The sequence below is a fragment of the Homo sapiens genome, chromosome 17 (assembly GCF_000001405.40).
Source record: "Homo sapiens chromosome 17, GRCh38.p14 Primary Assembly".
Lineage (NCBI taxonomy): Eukaryota > Metazoa > Chordata > Mammalia > Primates > Hominidae > Homo > Homo sapiens.
Genome location: NC_000017.11, coordinates 78,774,527 through 78,793,427, shown reverse-complemented (window position 1 = coordinate 78,793,427; position 18,901 = coordinate 78,774,527). Strand labels below are relative to the sequence as shown.

The following is an 18,901-nucleotide window of genomic DNA, read 5'->3' as shown; positions in this document are numbered from 1 at the left end:
ATTCGGCTTTCAGGGCTGTCTGGCTGCCCTTCTTCGTTGGGCTCTGCCTGCCTTTTGGGATTTCTGCCCTTGGTCTTCAGGCAACTCCTTCCTCTCTCTCCCATTCTTTTCAGTGATCCCTGCACACTATTTTGCTCTCTCATTGCATATGTGCCCACTACTCTTGGTAAGTGACTTCCAAGGCTACCTCAAGAATTCCCATCCCACCCCAAAATTAAACAACATGGGGAAACCAAAGCTAAAACCAGCTCCTCTCCCTCTGTTCTCTTCTCCTTCTTACCTCAGGGTTCTCAATGCTCATAGGGCAGCAGGAGCACCTGGGGAGAGGCATTCGATACTGACGGAAGTAGAATCAGAATCTATGGGTGAGGCTTAGGCATCAGCATTTAAAGCCTTCCTGGGGGGGTGAGGGGGGCGGGCGCGGTGGCTCACACCTGTAATCCCAGCACTTTGGGAGGCTGAGGCGGGCGGATCACTTGAGGTCAGAAGTTCGAGACCAGCCTGACCAACATGGTGAAACCCTGTCTCTACTAAAAATACAAAAATTAGCTGGGCTTGGCCTGTGCCTGTAATCCCAACTACTTGGGAGGCTGAGGCAGGAGAACTGCTTGAACCTGGGAGGTGGAGGTTGCAGTGAGCCAAGATCATGCCACTGCACTCCAGCCTGGGCGACAGAGTGAGACTCTGTCTCAAAAACAACGACAACAAAAAAAACCTTCCCGGGGGGATCATAGTGAGCAGCAGAGTTGAGAGTTGCCATCCTGGTCCCTGGTCTCAAACTCAAGTGAGCACCAGAATTGCCAGGGGCTCCTTAAAACACCAGTTGCCGGGCTCCTTCCCCCGCATTCTGATTCAGCAGGTCTGGGATGAGGCCTGAGAATGTGCATGTCCAATAGTCCCCGGGGCTGCTGCTGGGCAGACCCACTGTTCTGATCTGATGCCTCCCAGAGGGGCTGGGTGGTTGGTGTGGGAGAGTGGGAAGGAACTGTAGTATAGGGGCTGTTCCCCATCCTCTGTGGGGACCTCTACTGGAGATGCTGGACGAGGTGCCCCCTCTGTGTATGCTGGCACCCCACCTGTGCCCTTGAGGCCAACTTCTTCCACCCTGGGGACCTTGCTCCATTAATTACCCTGTCTGCTCCCGTGTCTCACTCTTCCCTTAGGAACATGTTCAGGCATCTCCCATCCTAAAAAGCCTGTGTGTCCTTGTGTCCCCTCTCAGCTGCCCTCTCCTTTGGTTGACATTCATTTTGCTCTGTGTTGACTCTCTGTGGTTCTTAGTCTAGCTTCTGCCATCATCACTTCTCAGTGACCTAATTCCCACTCTTGCCACCGACTTCTTCCCAGGATTTGACACTGTTGACCTCCGCACCCTGGAGAGCTCCTCTAAGATGTGAGCCTGTTGCATTTGCTGCATACTCTAGATCAAGCCCAGAATCAACTGATCCAGTCAATACATCCCACTGAACAGCCGACCGATCCACCCTCTGTCAGGATCTCTACTGTAGACACTGAAAGAGGTGCCCCCTCAGTATAGGATCCTGGCCTCAAATAATCTTCTCGCCTTGGCCTCCCAAAGCATTGGGATTACAGGTGTGAGCCACTGTGCCTGGCCTCCAGGACAATCTTTTAAGGCAAGAAACCAGAATCTAATCATTCCCCAACATAAGGTTTCTCACTCCTGTTCAGAGAAAATAGTCTCCTCTATTTTGTGATCCAGATCCCCCCTGCCTCTTCAGCCTTCCACAGCCCCCTAGAGGCCTCTGGGCAGCTGTCCAGCCCGTTGTTCTGGGATCTCAGAAAGCACTCCAGGCATTGAGGAAATTGCCCTGTGAGAGGGGCCTGAGATTAAAAATGTGCTTGTTCTTAGCAGAATCTGTACCAAACTGTTGCTTCAAGTTGCTTTCTCAAGGGGAAACTGCTGTATATTTTTGCTGCTTTAAAGGGATTAAAGTAGGGTCAGGCTGGAGTCAGGTTTGAATCATGACTTCCTATAAAAAGAAGGCCAGGGCCGGGCACGGTGGCTCATGCCTGTAATCCCAGCACTTTGGGAGGCCTAGGCGGGGCGGATCACCTGAGGTCAGGACACAACATGGAGAAACCCCGTCTCTACTAAAAATACAAAATCAGCCGGGCATGGTGGTGCATGCCTGTAATCCCAGCTACTTGGGAGGGTGAGGCAGGAGAATCGCTTGAACCCGGGAGGTGGAGGTTGCGGTGAGCCGAGATCGCACCATTGCATTCCAGCCTGGGCAACAACAGCGAAACTCCAGCTAAAAAAAAAAAAAAAAAAAAAAAGAAGGCCAGATTGGGAATCAAGACCTGTGTTCTAAGGGGTCTGCCATGAGTTAGCATCATGAATTTGCTTTTCTCCTCTAAAATGCAAAGGTTAGATTCAAATTATCATGATTGTCAGCTGTCACTCTCACGATACATGTCTTGCATGCGTGTTTTCATTGGTTTTCTCCCTTACTGCTTCATTTAGGAGGGTGTTGATTAGAGGAAGCAACAGGACATGGCTGCCAAATATCCATTAGACATTGAGTGAGAAACAGGTCACAAGATTGCCACTCCCTTAAGCAGGATCTAGGTATTTAGGTAGCTTCTTACCATCATGAGACCAGATTTCAACACACAGTCTAAGTACATGGCAAATACTTGCTGCGAAATGTGTGTAGGAAATTCAAGTTCTTTTACATAAACCAGTGATTTTTTTAAGGCCATTTTAAAATGAATGTGTTGGCCGGGCGCAGTGGCTCATGCTTGTAATTCCAGCACTTCAGGAGGCTGAGATGAGAGGATTGCTTGAGCCCAAGATGTCGAGACCAGCCAAAAAAGGCCAGGCATGGTGGCTTGTACCTGTAGTCCCAGCTCTTTGGGAGGCCACGGCAGACAGATCACAAGGTCAGGAGTTCAAAACCAGCCTGGCTAACATAGTGAAACCCTGTCTCTACTAAAAATAAAAAAAAATTAGCCGGGCCTCGTGGCACACGCCTGTAGTCCCAGCTACTCGGGAGGCTGAGGCAGGAGAATCACTTGAACCCAGGAGGTGGAGGTTGCAGTGAGCTGAGACCGCGCCATTGTGCTCCAGCCTGGGTGACAGAGTGAGACTCTGTCTTTAAAAAAAAAGAAAAAGAAAAAGAAACCATATCTCCACTAAAAATACAAAAATTAGCCAGGCGTGGTGGTGGGTGCCTGTAATCCCAGCTATTCAGGGAGGCTGAGGCAGAGGAGTCACTTGAACCTGGAAAGCCGAGGTTGCAGTGAGCTGAGATCGCGCTATTGCACTCCAGCCTGGATGACAGAGCGAGACTTCGTCTCAAAAAAAAAAAAAAGGTATTATTCTGCCATTTTTCTGTCTTATGTGGCTACAGTTCTCTTGGCAAGGCCTAGCACTTACCAGCCACCCGGTAAATATTTGTTGAATGAGTGAACTGGAGCAGCTGCTGAAGGCAGCATACTTTGTGACTGCATTCGGACCCTGCTCAGAAAACAGCCAGCCCACCGTCCATCAAAGTCAGTGGCTCCGCAGTCCACACTGCACTAATTCCCCTTCACATTGCCTTCCCTGAGCCCTACCCGCACCCCCTTTGTTTTTCTGCGTAAGTGAAAACATTTTGGTGAAGTCTAGCAGGAACTAGAGCACTAGCTCCTCTATTTGAAGTGAACGCCCAAACCGTGGCACGTGGCCAGCTGTCTTTTGGGTGGCACAGGGAACAGTTGGTGACAGCTGGATACAATCAAGTTCCATTACAAACAGATTTTAAGTGTCATTTACACACAGAAGAAATTGCAAGCTTTAGCAAAATAAAATCTGGGGGTTTTCAAAGCAAGACAATGCCCCAATCCAAGCCTGTGTGAGCAGTTCGCTTTGCAGCCTCTTGCGGGGATTAACACCCCTTCTTCACCAGGCTCCACCCTCTCTGCAAGGTCTATGCTGCAAAATTAGCAAGTCCAGGAGGCTTGCTCCCTGGCAGAGCTGCTGAGTCCTCTGTCTTCTATTTATTCACTTTTTGAAGAACCCTGAATTAAAGGCCTGTCTAACCACTGTTCAGCCTACTCCTTCTGGGTGGGAGGGGTCAGAGGCTGGCTTCTAGAAAAGCTGCTACCTCTAGATCATACCTTTCGCTTGGTCTCAGGGCGTACAAATCACTCACACAGTGATTGGGCAAGTGAAGGCTGGCATGCCCAGCTAAACCTCATCTCCTTTTTTTTTTTTTTTTTTTTTTTGGGACCAAGTTTCTCTCTTGTTGCCCAGGCTGGGGTGCAATGGCGCAATCTCGACTCACTGCAACCTCTGCCTCCCAGGTTCAAGTGATTCTTCTGCCTCAGCCTCCCAAGTTGCTGGGACTACAGGTGCATGCCATCACGCCCGGCTAATTTTCATATTTTAATAGAGACGGAGTTTCACCATATAGGCCAGGCTGGTCTCGAACTCCTGACCTCGTGATCTGCCTGCCTCAGCCTCCCAAAGTGCTGGGATTACAGGCGTGAGTCACCGCACCTGGCCTCATCTCTCTTTCGTGAAGCCAGCATTGTCCCCAGACATCTCAGTCCTCAGTGTCCCTCCCGTCCCCACCTCTGGCAAGAGGCAGCATTCTGGCCTTGGTGGAGGGGAATGACATCAGGCAGTGGCTGACAATTCTCCCCTTGGTGGAGGGGAGGCCGTAGATGATGTCCTGGTGTCTGGTGTTCTGATGGCCTCAGCAATACCTACCCCATGGACCCGAGTCCCTCCACATCTCGTCCTTGGCCCTTCCTTCCTTCATGCCTTCTAGCAGATGCGGGTGGGCTGTCTGTTGTTCCTGTAGCACACAGGGTCAGGGTGGGCATCAGTCCTGCCTTTCTTCTGAGACCCTCCAGCTTGCACCTTCTGGAAGCTGGGCACCCCCACTGCCCCACCAACCAGCTGGGAGAACATAAAGGTAACGAAATAGAATTACTTGTTTTAGAAAAAGGAACCAGGGCCGGGTGCGGTGGCTCACGCCTGTAATCCCAGCACTTTGGGAGGCCGAGGCAGGCAGATCACGAGGTCAAGAGATTGAGACCATCCTGGCCAACATGGTGAAACCCTGTCTCTACTAAAAATACAAAAATCAGCTGGGCGTGGTGGCGCATACCTGTAGTCCCAGCTACTTGGGAGGCTGAGGCAGGAGAATTGCTTGAACCTGGGAGGCGGAGGTTGCAGTGAGCCGAGATTGCACCACTGCGCTCCAGCCTGGCGACAGAGTGAGGCTCTGTCTCAAAAAAAAAAATAAATAAATAAAATAACCTATGCATATGCAATTTTAAACACAACTTGCAGAGCTTCATGTACTCGCTTCCTGAGGCTGCCATAACAAAGGACTACAAACTGGGTGGCTTAAGACAATGGGAATGTTCTCTCACAGTGCCAGAGAGAGACCAGAGTCTGGAATCAAGGTGTCCTCAGGGCTGTGGGGGAGAATCCAGCCTCTCCCAGGAATTCCTTGGCTTGTGGCCACATCACTCCACTGTGCTTCCATCTTCACGTAGCCATCTTTCCGTTCTGTGTCCAAATCTCCCTCTTTTTGTAAGGACACAAGTCCTGTTTGATTAGGTCCCACCCTAATGATCTCATGTTAACTTGATTACATCTGCAAAGACCCCACTTCCAAATAAGGTCACCATTCACAGGTACTGGGGCTTAGGACTTCAACATATCTTTTGTTGGGACATGACTCAACCCATAACAGTATGGAAAGGTTCTCTTCTCAGAGTTAAATGTGGCTCCCAATCTCTACCTCACAGATGATCAAGCGGTGCTGATTCACGAGAGTGGAAGCCTCCAGAGCTTGGGGCTTTCTGGCTGCTCTTCATTGACCTGTGTGTTCCCAGCACACGAACAGTGCCCCTAACGGAGATTTGTTCAGCGACTGAATATACACCTGTAAACGAGTAGCATGTATACATTGATTTTGATTACAAATGGTTCTGTATTATATACCACCGTTCTGACTGCTTTTTTCACTTATAGCTTGGAAATTGTCTTCTGTTGGTAATACAGAAATCTGTTTCAGTCTTTTGAAGCCTGTGGGTGCTTCCTTGTATGAAAGTATCCTAATATAGTTAACCTGTTTGCTATTGATAAACTTTGAGGTGGTTCCTGAAGACATTTTAAAACCATGGTATAGGGCCGGGCATGGTGACTCACGCCTGTAATCCCAGCACTTTGGGAGGCTGAGGTGGGTAGATCACCTGAGGTCAGGAGTTCAAGACCAGCCTGGGCAACATGGTGAAACCCCGTCTCTACTAAAAATACAAAAATTAGCAGGGCGTGGTAGCGCGTGCGTGTAATCCCAGCTACTCGGGAGGCCGAGACATGAGAATCGCTTGAACCTGGGAGGCAGAGGTTGCAGTGAGCCTGAGATCATGCACCACTGCACTCCAGCCTGAGCAACAGAGCGAGACTCAGTCTCAAAAAATAAATAAATAAATAAAATAAAACCATGGTATAAGCATAGGAAAAACATATTTTGGGTTACCTCTGCTTAAAACCTTTCTAATTCTTTTTATTAGGCAAAGCAGGGAAGCTGAAGGGGGAATGTTTCGGGAAAAACTCTCAAACTATGGTCTGCTCTCACCTCACAACAATCTTCACAGAAGACTGCTCTGCCCAGAGGCGTGGGGGTTTATCCCCACACACCAAGCAGCAGACACTACCTGGGGGTCCTCTCATCCAGTCCAACTTGGACTCTTATCTGGAGTGAGGTCAGATCTCACAGGCTGAGGGCTCAGTCCCCAAGACTGCATTTGTGACAGCAGTCACAAGCCTGGGCCTCTGGAAGTTCTGAGCGACCACCTTAAACTTGGGATTTCTATGACCCCCGCTCTTTGGGTTTGATTAATTTGTTGGAGCCACTCACAGAACTTAGGGAAACACTTACATTTAGTATTTTGTTTGTTTTTAATTTTTTTGAGACGAAGTCTCGCTCTTGTCCCCCAGTGTGATGGCGCGATCTCAGCTCACTGCAACCTCCACCTCCCGGGTTCAAGCGATTCTCCTGCCTCAGCCCCCCGAGTAGCTGGGATTACAGGCACCCGCCACCAAGCCCGGCTAATTTTGGTATTTTTAGTAGAGACGGGGTTTCACTATGTTGGCCAGGCTGGTCTCGAACTCCTGACCTCAGGTGATACAACAGCCTCCCAAAGTGCTGGGATTATAGGCATGAGCCACCACGCCTGGCCATTTAGTGGTTTATTATAAAGGATATTGCAAAGGATAAAGATGAAGAGATGGGGAAGGGCCCTTGCACAGAGCTTCCAAGCCCTCCCTAGGCATCACCCTCCAGGAACCTCCACATGTTCAGCTATCCTAGCCCAGTCTTTTTTTTTTTTTTTTTTTAATGGAAATTTTTATGGAAGCTTCCTTCCATAGGGCACAGGGCAGGACCCTCTCTGGGGAGGGTCTTAAGACCCACAATCAGAAAGGTGGGCAAGATTAAAGTCCTGCCTTGGGGCAGGTGAAAGAACAAGAGAAGGCCAGAGAGATTGTTTCCTGAGGCCTAAACCAACATTATAACAAAAGACTGTAACAAGAGCTAAGGGAGGTATGTGCCAGGAACAGTGGAAAATACCAGAGGGTGGCCAGGAGCAGGCTCATGCCTGTAATCCTAGCACTTTGGGAGACTAAGGTGGGTGGATCACTTGAGCCCAGGATTTCACAACCAGCCTGGACAACATGGAAAGACCCTGTCTCTAAAATAAATAAATAAATAAAATATTAGCTGGGTGTGGTGGCGTGCAACTGTAGTCCCAGCTACTTGGGAGGCTGAAGTGGGAAGATCGATGGAGTCTGGGAGGTGGAGTCTGCAGTGAGCCATGAGCCACTGCACTCCAGCCTGGCCAACAGAGTGAGACCCTGTCTCAAAAACAAAACCAAACCAAAAACTGTCAAATACCGCAGGGAGCTACCAACTTAAAAAAATTAGTTGTCAAGTGGATCAACCACTAAGGACTTAGAAACCACAGCGAAACTTGCAGAGAGCCCACACCCAGTTTAAAGGTTCTGTGAAGAATTAGTGGATGTGGGGGAAGAGGTCTGGGTTAGAATCCACAGCTGGAGTGGAGTCCTGTGGTTCCTGTCTCCCTGCCGCCGGCTCCTTCTCATTACGCTCCAAGGGCTGGGGGCACAAATACAAGATACGAGAGTGAAACTGACTTAACTCCTGCTTGCAAGTAGGCTGCATTTGGATGTCTATTAGCCTCGGCTTCCAAATGTCATGCAAAGATAACAGCTAAAGGACCTCTCTGGCTGGGCGCAGTGGCTCACGCCTGTAATCCCAGTGCTTTGAGAGGCAGAGGTGGGCGGATCACCTGAGGTCAGGATGTCAAGACCAGCCTGGCCAACATGGCGAAACCCTGTCTCTACTAAAAACACAAAAATTAGCTGGGCTTGGTGGCACATGGTGGTAATCCCAGCTACGTGGAGGCTGCAGTGAGCCGAGATGTGCAACTGCACTCCAGCCTGGATGACACAGTAAGACCCTATCTCAAAAAAAAAAAAAAAAATCTCTGATCATGAATGTGATCTAATGGAGTAGCTTCTGTGTTTCTTTGACAGTCATCCATGGTCAGGGATAGCCCTACCCAGTGGACACATGCATGCATTCATTTGCAACCAGAACAAACACTGTCTCTGTATTATGTGTGATAGACTACAATTTTTTAAAAATTCTATTTTCTTTTCATCTAATAAGTATTTGTTTCATAACCATTAAGAGTCATGACCCGCTGTTTGAAAAACACTGTTCTTTTTTTTTTTTTTGGAAACAGGGTCTCACTCTGTCCCCCAGGCTGGAGCACAGTGGTGCAATCATAGCTTACTGAAGCCTCAACTTCCCAGGCCCAGAGGATCCCTCCCACTTCAGCTTCCAGAGTGGCTAGGACTACAGGCGTGTGCCGCTATGCTCGACAATTTTTAATTTTTTGTAGAGACAGGGTCTCTCTATGTTACTCGCGCTGGTCTTGAACTCCTGCCCTGAAGCAGTTTTCCTAGCTTGGCCTCCCAAAGTACTGGGGTTATAGGCATGAACCACTTCACCCAGCTGAAAAACACCAGTCTAATGGAACAATATAAGGGAACAGAATTTGTAAACAGTCATGTTCTCTGCTAATCTGTGATTAGCAGTAATACCAGTATCCCTCCCTCTCCAAATCTATTCAGTTGGTGAGTTCAGCTAAGAGGTCTAGAGTGCTGATAGTAAGAATTAACATGCCATCTGAATCGCTTTTCTTCTGGAGTTCTGGTCTTTGAGCAAGAGCTGAGGTGGTCTGGGACTTGCATACTGATAAGGGAAGAAAGCCAGCTCGAAGATACCTTGAACCTTCTGGTGAGTCTGGGGTTAGAAGTGAAGTAGGGAGTGAAACAGAGGATGGCAAATACTGGGGGAGAGGCTCAGTGCTCCATTAGCCCATGTGACAGATGGTTTGAGAAGATTTGCCAGGTCAATGTGGGGTCAATTCTAAAAGTGTCCTAAGTCTAGGCCAAGAGGAACAAAATGCAGCTGGGTCTCTGACCTCACACGCCGAAGCCCAAGGACACGTTAGGGCCAAAATGTGACTCTCTAAGGTCACCTGTAAAACTGGACAATCTGGTAAAGTCAGTGAAGGTTAAGATCATGAATCCAGCCAGGCGTGGTGGCTCACGCCTGTAATTCCAGTACTTTGGGAGGCCAAGGAAGGAGACCAAAGAGAAAGGATCACTTGAGCCTAGGAGTTCGAGACCAGCCTGGGCAACCTAGCAACCTCCGTCTCTACAAAAAATACAAAAATTAACCAGGTATGGTGGCCGGTGCCTGCAGTCTCAGCTACTCAGGAGGCTGAGGTGGGAGAACTGCTTGAGCCTGGGAAGCAGAGGTTGCAGGGAGTCATGATGGTGCCACCGTACTCTAGCCTGAGCAACACAGCGAGTGAGACTCTGTCTCAAAATGAATAAATAAATAAAAGAAAAAGAAAAATAGTAAAACTCAGGACAGGTGGGCCCACAAGGAAAGAGTTCTGTGGCTTTTACTCCCGTTTTTTGGTTGGTCCAAAAAATTCCCAGCAGTCCAGGGATCTCTGTGGAGTTCTCAGTGAGTGTTCTGTGTAGGGTGCAGGAGCCACAAGTGACTGCAGGGGGAAAGGGGGGTTCTGGTGCTGGCATTCTGCAGCAGTGGGATTGTCCTCTGTCATAAAGAAAGAGAAGGCCGAGCGCGGTGGCTCATACCTGTAATCCCAGCACTTTGGGAGGCCGAGGCAGGCGGATTATTTGAGGTCAGGAGTTCGAGACCAGCCTGGCCAACATGGCGAAACCCCGTCTCTACTAAAAATACAATTAGTCGGGCCTGGTGGCACATGCCTGTAATCACAGCTACTCAGGAGGCTGAGGCAGGACAATCGCTTGAACCCGGGAGGCGGAGGTTTCAGTGAGCCGAGATCGGGCCACTGCACTCCAGCCTGGGCAACAAGAGCGAAACTCGTCTCCAATAAATAAATAAAATCCAAAACGCTGGGACTTGAAGTGCCCTCCTTTCAATCTTGACCCAGGTAAAACTCAGGACAAATAAAAAGAAGTAGAAGCAGTAAACTTAGGACATACAGCATGTAAAGGTTCTGAACGCAGGAGTAAATGACTTCAAATAGCTTTTGTGGCCTTTCGCCAAGGACCGGGCCCTCCCTGGCAAGCTGGGGCCGGGTCTGACCTTCCAGGTTGGCGTCAGCAAGGACCACCCTGCCCTTCAGTGGCCGGACACGACCTTGGGCTTTCGTGCAGTAGCCTGGCTGCAGGCCAGGTCGAGTCCGCCACCCCGGGGACTTGCACCGCCCTTCAGAAACCGAAACCTGCTCGGCCCCAGGAGGCGGACCGGGAGAAGGGGGGGGGGTGTGTGTGTCTCGGGACGGGGGCGTGGTCTAGAGGCGGGGGCAGGGGAGGAGCCTCGGGTGGACGCGCGTGCGCAGGCCGGAGCCTCGGGAGGAGGCCGGGTACCCGGGGTGCGGCGCGCGCGGGAGGAAGGCGGGGCCTCGGGCGAGGGGCGGGGCCTCGGGCCGGGGGCAGGGGGCGGGCGCAGGCGCAGGCGCGGGCGGGCGGGGCGCGGGGCGCGGGGCGCCGGGGGCGGGGCTCCGAGCCGGGCTGAGGCGAGCGGGGGCGCGGGTGGCGCGGCGGGACGCGAGCGGCGAGCCGGAGCGCGGAGCCCGGCTCCCGCACCATGGAGGAGGACGACAGCTACGGTCAGTGCGCCCCGGCGGCGGACGCTTCCCCCTCGCTGTCCCCCAGTCCCCTCCGGGCCCGGCCGTCCGGCAGCGCTTGCGGCGGCTGGCGTTTCCCGGGGACACTGGTGCGGGACGCGGAGCCCGGGGCGACCGGCGGGCGAGCGGTGCGCGGGGCCCTCGCGGGGCGGGGGTCGCAGGGGGTTTTGAGGGATGAGGGTCGCCGGGGCCGGGGTCGCTGGCGGCGCTGAGGGATGTGGGTGGCTGGGGCGGGGGTCACAGGCCGGGCTCGCGGTCTCGCGGGGCCAGGGGTCGCCGCGAGCTCTGAGGAATGAGGGTCGTTGGGGTCGCGGGGCAGGATCTCAGGGGCTCTGAGGGATGAGAGTCGTTGGGGTCGCTGGGGTCCCCGGGGCAGGGGTCGCAGTCCGGGTCCCGGGGGGCCGAGGGGTGGAGGTCGCTGGCCCTGCCGCCCCTCTGCGGGGCTCGGGGCGGACGCGCGGATGGCCGGGCCCGCGTTCCCCGCAGTTTCCGGCCGCTCTCGGCGTCAGCGAGTTGTGCCCGGTCCACGTCTTTGTTCAGAAATGAGAACGGGGAGCGGCGCCGCCGGCGAGGCGCGGGCTCCGGGACGGCCCTGCCCGCGGGAGTCTGGGCCCGGTAGCCGCCGGTCCGGTGCGTCGCCGCCTGCCGAGACGCGGGTGTGGAGCCCGAGGGGCACCGCGGTGGGGACGCCGCTCCTCCCCTGACTGGGGACTTGGCAAGCGGAGCCGCTGTCCCGCTCCCTTCGCTCCCGCGCGTTGAGGCTGCTGGCCCAGGCCAGGGGTGCCTCCCTCCAAGAGTTTGAAATTGCAAGGGTTGCAAAAGGTTGTTTGACATGCTGTAGTTAATTTATTAAGTTTGTTCATGAGGAATTAAAAGGAAGAATGGCAAATAGAACAAGTGGTGAACTTTTGTGGTTTGGTAGCAAAGTACAAATAAAGCAGAACTCTGTGGCCAAATGGAACCCAATTCTAGTTTAATAACTAATGGGACATTTTTCTTTTTTTTTTTTTTTTAAGAGACGAGATCTCGCTCTGTCACCCAGGCTGGAGCACAGTGGCGTGATCGTAGCTCACGTCAGCCTCTTGAGTGGCTGGAACCATACGCACGCCACCATGCCCGGCTAATTTTTTATTTTATTTTATTTTATTATTTTATTTTATTTTATTTTATTTTTGAAACGGAGTCTCACTCTGTCGCCCAGGCTGTAGTGCAGTGGCGCCATCTCGGCTCACTGCAACCTCGGCCTCCTGGGTGAGCTGAGCGATTCTCCTGCCTCAGGCTCCTGAGTAGCTGGGACTACAGGCGCGTGCCACCACGCCTGTCTAATTGTTGTATTTTTAGTAGAGACAGGGTTTTGCCATGTTGGCCAGGCTGGTCTTGAACTTCTGACCTCAGGTGATCCACCCGCCTCGGCCTCCCAAAGTGCTGGGATTACAGGCATGAGCCACCGCGCCCAGCCCTAATTTTTTACTTTTTTAAAAGATGGGGTCTTGCCATGTTACCCAGGCTGGTCTTGAACTCCTAGACCCAAGCAGTCCTCCCACCTCTGCCTCGCACAGTGTTGGGATTACAGGCCTGAGCCACCACACCCAGCCCACTTGTTACCTTATAAGTAAACAAGTAAAAGCAGCTTGTGCATTTTTTTGTTGTTTGTTTTGTTGTGTTTTTGAGACAGGGTCTAGCTCTCTTGCGCAGGCTGGAGTGCAGGGGCGCTCTCATAGCTCACTGCACGCTCTGCTTCCTTGGCTCAAGCAATCCTCTCACCTCTCTTCTCAGCCCCTCCTGTAACCTGGACTACAGGCCTGGGCTACCACGCCCTGCTAATTATTTTTATTTCTTTTTGTAGAGAGGGAGGTCTCCCTATGTTGCCTAGGCTGGTGTGAACTCCAGTTCCTATCTTGGCCTCCCAAAGTGTTGGGATTACAGGCATGAGCCACTGCTCCCAGCCTCCTTTTGTGATTAAAAGAAAAATCACCCACTGGCTGGCCCCAAAAGATTGTTCAGCCCCTCCAGATTTCACTCCTGCCCACTGCTGAGAAGCCGACAGCAGTTTTGCCTGCTGCTCTTTTCTCTGCCTCCTCTTGCCATTTAATTTCCCTCAGATCCCAGTGTCCTGCCTACCAGGCTTTTGTGGCCTCTCTTGTGTTCTTGCCTGCTGCCGTGGGCAGGAAGCTATTGGTCTGGTTGCTTTTAATACAGTGACTGCTTTGCCACCAGGCATGACATGAACTTGTACTTGAAAGAGGTAAGTGGAAGCAGGGCGTGTTAGTTTCCTATACCTGTTATATTACCACAAGCCTGGTGGCTCAAAACAACATAACATTTGTTTTAGGGTTCTGCTGTCAGAAGTCCAAAATAGGTCTCACTGGGCTAAAGCCAAGGTGTCGGACAGGCTGGTTCTTTCTGGAGGCTCAGGGGAGAACCCATTTCCTTACCTTTTCCAGCTTCTAGAGGCCACCTGTGTTCCATGGTTCATAGTCCCCTTTCCATCTTCAAAGCCAGCAGGTAGCATCTTCTCATTTCTCTCGACCTCCTACCTCCCTCTTATTAAGATCCTTGTGATTATAGTGGGACCCACCTGGATAATCAAGGCTAAGGATTAGCAACCTTAATTCCATCTGTTACCTTAATTCCCCTTCTGCCATGTAAGGTAACCTATTCACAAGTTCTGGGGATTAGTACCCGGACTTCTTTAGGGGCTGTTATTCTGTCTGCCACACACGAAGATGAGAAAGTTTGTAAGTTTATTCTTCCCCTTTCTTTTTTTTTTTTTTTTTTTTTTTGAGATGGAGTTTCACTCTTGTTGCCCAGGCTGGAGTGCAATGGCGCAATCTCGGCTCACTGCAACCTCTGCCTCCCAGCTTCAAGCGATTCTCCTGCCTCAGCCTCCTGAGTAGCTGGGATTACAGGCATGCGCCACCACGCCTGGCTAATTTTGTATTTTTAGTAGAGACAGGGTTTCTCTGTGTTGTCCAGGCTGGTCTCAAACTCTTGACCTCAGGTGATCTGCCTGCCTAAGCCTCCCAAAGTGCTGGGATTACAGGCATGAACCACCCCGCCTGGCCTGTTCCCCTTTCTACAGTTTTAAATATCATCCTTTTATTTTGGAGGAACTAAAAAGATTGAAGATTCCCCACCCAGAGGGTCACCACACAAAAAGTACCTGATGGTGTAAGATGATCATATGAAGAATAAGACTCCCAAGTTCTTTAAGGTTTGTGTTAGTCTCCAGAACTGTCCATTTCCCTCATAGGTTTCACAGAGAATTTACCTTGACCAGATCCCACATTGTAAAAGGAAATGTGTGTGATGGATTCATAAAGCATATAACATGACGTGTTCAGACGTCACCTCAGAACTTCCATTGTTTTCTTTTAAACAAACTTTTTATTATTATTATTTTTTAAATAGTTGCAGAGTCTCACTATGTTGCGCAGGCTGGTCTAAAACCATCCTCCCGCCTTGGCCTCTGAAAGTGTTGGGTTGAGTCACTGTGCCAGGCCTAATTAAACTTTTTCTTTCTTTTTTTTTTTTTTTTTTTTTTTTGAGATGGAGTCTCACTGTGTTGCCCAGGCTGGAATGCAGTGACGCAATCTTGGTTCACTGCAACCTCTGCCTGCTGGGTTCAAGTGATTCTTCTGCCTCAGCCTCCCAAGTAGCTGGGATTACAGGCACCTGCCACCACACCCGGCTGATTTTTGTGTTTTTAGTAGAAATGGGGTTTCACCATATTGGCCAGGCTGGTCTTAAACTCCTGACCTCAAGTGATCCACCTGCCTTGGCCTCCCAAAGTGCTGGGATTACAGGCGTGAGCCACCACGCCCGGCCCTAAATAAACTTTTTAAACCTTAATTTTTTTTCCCTTTTTTTTTTTTTTTTTTTTTTTGAGACAGTCTTGTTCTGTCACCCAGGCTGGAGTGTGGTGGCACAGTCTTAGCTCCCTGCAGCTTCCACCTCCTGGGTTCATGCGATTCTCCCTCAGCTTTCTGAGTAGGGGTTACTACAGGCACATGCTATCATGTCTGGCTAATTTTTGTATTTTTAGTAAAGATGGGGTTTCCCCATGTTGGCCAGGCTGGTCTTGAACTCCTGACCTCAATTGATCTGCCTGCTTCAGCCTCTCAAAGTGCTAGGATTACAGGCCTGAGCCACCAAGCCCAGCCTAAACCTTAATATTTGATTTTCAGAATAATGAGAAACATTTCTTGTGGTGTTAACTTTGTGTGTGCGCTGTTTTCAACAGTGCTTCCTCTGTCCCTGTCCCTGTCCCTGCTGCGTAAGTTGGTAACGTTTTGTGAATCAGCCTAGGACAGGTACCACTGTTTTTAGAATTCTTTCTTTTTTTTTTTTTTTGTATTTTTAATAGAGATGGGGTTTCACCATGTTAGCTAGGATGGTCTCGATCTCCTGACCTCGTGATCTGCCCGCCTCAGCCTCCCAAAGTGCTGGGATTACAGGTGTGAGCCACCGCGCCCGGCTTTAGAATTCTTTCTGGAGGGAAATGCATTGTAATTTCCTGGCTACCTTTTAGTATTAAAAAACTTTTGGAACATAGCTCATTGATAATATGCTATAGAAAGAGAGTCTTAGAGTTTCTCTGTCCAATTAAAGACAATTTCAAAAACCAACAAAAAGGCTTTCTCAGTTCCAGTACTCTTTTGTATTCATTAGATAGGGACAGTTTGGTTCAGACTACACCTGTGTGGGATATATCTTTACTGGTTTGTTTATTTATTTAATTTATTTATTTTTATTTATTTATTTTTGAGACGGAGTCTTGCTCTGTTGCCCAGGCTAGAGTGCAGTGGCGCAATCTCGGCTCACTGCCAGCTCTGCCTCCTGGGTTCACACCATCTCCTGCCTCAGCCTCCTGAGTAGCTGGGACTACAGGCACCCGCCACCACACCCGGCTAAATTTTTGTATTTTTAGTAGAGACGGCGTTTCACCATGTTAGCCAGGATGGTCTCGATCTCCTGACCTCGTGATCCATCCGCCTCCCAAAGTGCTGGGATTACAGGCGTGAGCCACCGCGCCCGGCCTTATTTTTTTTTTTTTGTGAGACAGAGTTTCACTCTTGTTGCCCAGGCTAGAGTGCAATGGGGCGATCTCGGCTCACCGCAACCTCCGCCTCCCAGATTCAAGCAATTCTCCTGCCTCAGCCTCCCAAGTAGCTGGGATTACAGGCATGCGTCACCACGCCTGGCTAATTTTGTATTTTTACTGGAGACAGGGTTTCTCCATGTTGGTCAGGCTGGTCTCGAACTCCCGACCTCAGGTGATCCCCCTGCCTAGGCCTCCCAAAGTGCTGGGATTACAGGTGTGAGCCACTGCACCTGGCCTATTGGTTTCTTTTTTTAAAAAAAAAAAAACTGTTTATGGCACTGTGGAGTCCCACCAGACAAACCATTAACTTAAGAAAATACTATTCTGCTCAGGAAAAAGAAAAAAATCGTAAAAATTAAATTTTGCATACATTTTCTTTATAACATGCATACTGTGTGTACTTTTTTTTTTTTTTTTTTTTGAGACAGAGTCTCGCTCTGTTGTCCAGCCTGGAGTCCAGTGGCACGATCTTGGCTTACTGCACCCTCTGCCTCCCGGGTTCAAGCGATTCTCGTGCCTCAGCCTCCTGAGTAGCTGGGACAACAGGCGTGTGCTACCACGCTCAGCTAATTGTTTTGTATTTTTAGTAGAGATGGGGTTTCATCATGTTGGCCAGGCTGGTCTCGAACTCCTGACCTCAAATGATCTGCCCGCCTCAGCCTCCCAAAGTGCCGGGATTACAGGTGTGAGCCATTGCGCCTGGCTTGTGTGTACTGTTGCCAGTATATATTTCTGTGTAATAATGTTCAGGGTTGTAAACAGAAAACCACATATAATGCACTTTAAGGGAGTATTTGCGGGATTTTCCAGAGAGTATGTTCATCCTGTTGCTCTGTAATGGTCATCATTTTGGGGCTAATGACTGCAGTTGCCGTGATTCAATTATGAACTTCCTTTTTAAGCATAATTTCTTTTTTTTGTTGTTGAGACAGAGTTTTACTCTGTTTCCCAGGCTGAAGTGCAGTGGCGTGATCTTAGCTCACTGCAACTTCTGCCTCCTGGGTTCAAGTGATTCTCCTGTCTCAGCTTCCCAAGTAGCTGGGATTACAGGCATGTGCCACCACACCCGGCTGATTTTTGTATTTTTAGTAGAGACGAGGTTTCACCATGTTGGCCAGGCTGATCTCAAACTCCTGACCTCAGGTGATTTGCCCACTTCAGCCTCCCAAAGTGCTGGGATTACAGGTATGAGCCACCGTGCCTGGCCTTTAAGCATAATTTCTATATAAACATTTAAAATGAAAGTTGCTGGAGTCTATCATGTTCATTATAGCAAATGCATGTCTTATTTTTGTTCCTTTCAAGAAGTTAGCTTCAATTAGGGAAGTTGTCAACAGAGAATTTTAAAATAATTTTTAGGTGAGTTTTCAAATGAAAAGGAAGAGACGTCTGCAAATGTCCTTTACTTATTCAGCTTCTGAAATACCTTACTTTTTATTTGCCTTTGATGTAATTTTTACATTGAGTTCCCAGATTGATTATCTAAAGCAGGAAAGGTAGAACTAATTCATTATCTAAAACAAGAAAGAACAAATTTCAAGTTAAAATAGCAGTGTTTTCAGCAAGAATTAAAAAAACGAGGTTTCACTTTCTCTGTAGAGGAAGAGTGGTGGGGTAAGACATTCAAGAAAGTTGTTCATTCGCATATTTCGAGAAGCATTGAGGTCCAATTGCATAAAAACGTATCTGCTGTCTCTAGCTTTGGCCTTTGAGGGAAGGATATAAGGGAATACTCAGGACAGGGGTAAAAAGAAAAAAGACCCTTAGCACCCGAGGCTTTCAAGATCACTCTTAATTAGTAACTTCCTTCCATCTCTCCTCTTCCCCTAACCCCCAGCGGCCCCCCCAATCTTCATGGGCCACAGGAGACTGTCAGGGTGTTCAGCCTGGTTTCTGTGCCGGGTTAGGTGTGGTGTCATAACACACAGAGGGACCTCAGGAGGACTAACCCTGTGGTCTGTGGATGGTGTGATGCCTCGGGAGCTGGGGTGACTGCAGGGGTGGGTGCCTAGTGGCACAGAGGGAAAGCAGGCAGCAAGTCCAGGGCCGTTATGCCAGCCACAGGTGGTGGGCTGTCTGAGGGAGCAGTGCCTTGCGGCAGTTCTAACCCGATTTCCCATGCCGAATGCCCTGGTGGGTACTTCGGGGGTTTGATAAGAAAAGAGAGTAGTTTCTTCTGTGTTTTCATGGAAAGGAGTTTTCTCACAGGCATAATCTTGAGTGTCTACTCAAGATTTGGGAACATTTCACATGTATGTATTACGGTTTGTGACCAAAGACTCTGGATAAAAGGAGGATTTATATCAGAATTATAGGAAGAGCTGTCATGCTGTACCATGGAGACCTGTGTGTGGGTGGTGAGAAGATTCAACAAGAAAAATAAGGTCTGGGCACTGGCATGTCTGGGTGCTGCTGCGGGCTGGGGAGAGGAGCCTGTTGCATTTAAGAAAGATTTGCCTTTTCATCACCATGTCTCCAGAATAGGCATGGTGCCTGGGGCCCTACAGAGGCAGCTCAGCAACTGTGGAGGGAATAATGGATTGAACCAAGTTC

The 18,901-nt window shown here is 49.8% G+C and overlaps 2 protein-coding genes across 16 annotated transcripts in view, besides 9 other annotated features; both read left to right on the top strand.

Annotated features, from left to right (window-relative positions):
- USP36 (ubiquitin specific peptidase 36) overlaps positions 1 to 6,047 on the top strand; it is a 54,059-nt gene extending 48,012 nt beyond the window's left edge. For all 7 annotated transcript variants that reach the window (NR_169582.1, NR_169584.1, NM_001385177.1 and 4 more), the window contains one exon: positions 5,770 to 6,047. Coding sequence is in view for 1 of the 7 variants with exons in the window: in XM_011525071.4 (XP_011523373.1) it covers positions 5,770 to 5,773 (4 nt within the window). In the remaining 6 variants the exon portion in view is untranslated. The remainder of the gene's footprint in view (positions 1 to 5,769) is intronic.
- Positions 1,984 to 2,153: an enhancer, noted in NCBI's record as "experimental_47538 CRE fragment used in MPRA reporter constructs". NCBI's record gives its function as "activates a minimal promoter by MPRAs in K562 erythroleukemia cells, with activity observed for the introgressed 17:76787442 variant allele {active_cell/tissue: K562}" and the evidence as "EXISTENCE:reporter gene assay evidence [ECO:0000049][PMID:34662402]".
- Positions 7,951 to 8,370: a transcriptional cis regulatory region, noted in NCBI's record as "candidate enhancer chr17.5512 targeted for multiplex CRISPR interference". NCBI's record gives its function as "positively regulates CYTH1 gene expression with high confidence in K562 cells {active_cell/tissue: K562}" and the evidence as "EXISTENCE:mutant phenotype evidence [ECO:0000015][PMID:30612741]".
- Positions 10,896 to 11,055: a silencer, noted in NCBI's record as "silent region_9073". NCBI's record gives its function as "represses an Ori minimal core promoter by ATAC-STARR-seq in GM12878 lymphoblastoid cells {active_cell/tissue: GM12878}" and the evidence as "EXISTENCE:reporter gene assay evidence [ECO:0000049][PMID:35858748]".
- Positions 11,096 to 11,375: a silencer, noted in NCBI's record as "silent region_9072". NCBI's record gives its function as "represses an Ori minimal core promoter by ATAC-STARR-seq in GM12878 lymphoblastoid cells {active_cell/tissue: GM12878}" and the evidence as "EXISTENCE:reporter gene assay evidence [ECO:0000049][PMID:35858748]".
- CYTH1 (cytohesin 1) overlaps positions 11,155 to 18,901 on the top strand; it is a 108,226-nt gene continuing 100,479 nt past the window's right edge. For 8 of the 9 annotated variants that reach the window (NM_017456.4, NM_001365037.2, NM_001394677.1 and 5 more), the window contains exon 1: positions 11,155 to 11,226. In NM_017456.4, coding sequence (NP_059430.2) covers positions 11,205 to 11,226 — 22 coding nt within the window. In that variant the 5' untranslated portion in view covers positions 11,155 to 11,204. Of the gene's footprint in view, positions 11,373 to 18,901 lie in introns of all 9 variants that reach the window. The other variant, NM_001365039.2, reaches the window with a different exon arrangement.
- Positions 11,636 to 12,035: a silencer, noted in NCBI's record as "silent region_9071". NCBI's record gives its function as "represses an Ori minimal core promoter by ATAC-STARR-seq in GM12878 lymphoblastoid cells {active_cell/tissue: GM12878}" and the evidence as "EXISTENCE:reporter gene assay evidence [ECO:0000049][PMID:35858748]".
- Positions 13,054 to 13,153: an enhancer, noted in NCBI's record as "active region_12912". NCBI's record gives its function as "activates an Ori minimal core promoter by ATAC-STARR-seq in GM12878 lymphoblastoid cells {active_cell/tissue: GM12878}" and the evidence as "EXISTENCE:reporter gene assay evidence [ECO:0000049][PMID:35858748]".
- Positions 15,436 to 15,485: an enhancer, noted in NCBI's record as "active region_12911". NCBI's record gives its function as "activates an Ori minimal core promoter by ATAC-STARR-seq in GM12878 lymphoblastoid cells {active_cell/tissue: GM12878}" and the evidence as "EXISTENCE:reporter gene assay evidence [ECO:0000049][PMID:35858748]".
- Positions 15,496 to 15,545: an enhancer, noted in NCBI's record as "active region_12910". NCBI's record gives its function as "activates an Ori minimal core promoter by ATAC-STARR-seq in GM12878 lymphoblastoid cells {active_cell/tissue: GM12878}" and the evidence as "EXISTENCE:reporter gene assay evidence [ECO:0000049][PMID:35858748]".
- Positions 18,358 to 18,859: an enhancer, noted in NCBI's record as "H3K4me1 hESC enhancer chr17:76770651-76771152 (GRCh37/hg19 assembly coordinates)". NCBI's record gives its function as "activates a minimal SCP1, AML or CMV promoter by ChIP-STARR-seq in naive H9 embryonic stem cells {active_cell/tissue: H9 hESC(naive)}" and the evidence as "EXISTENCE:reporter gene assay evidence [ECO:0000049][PMID:30033119]".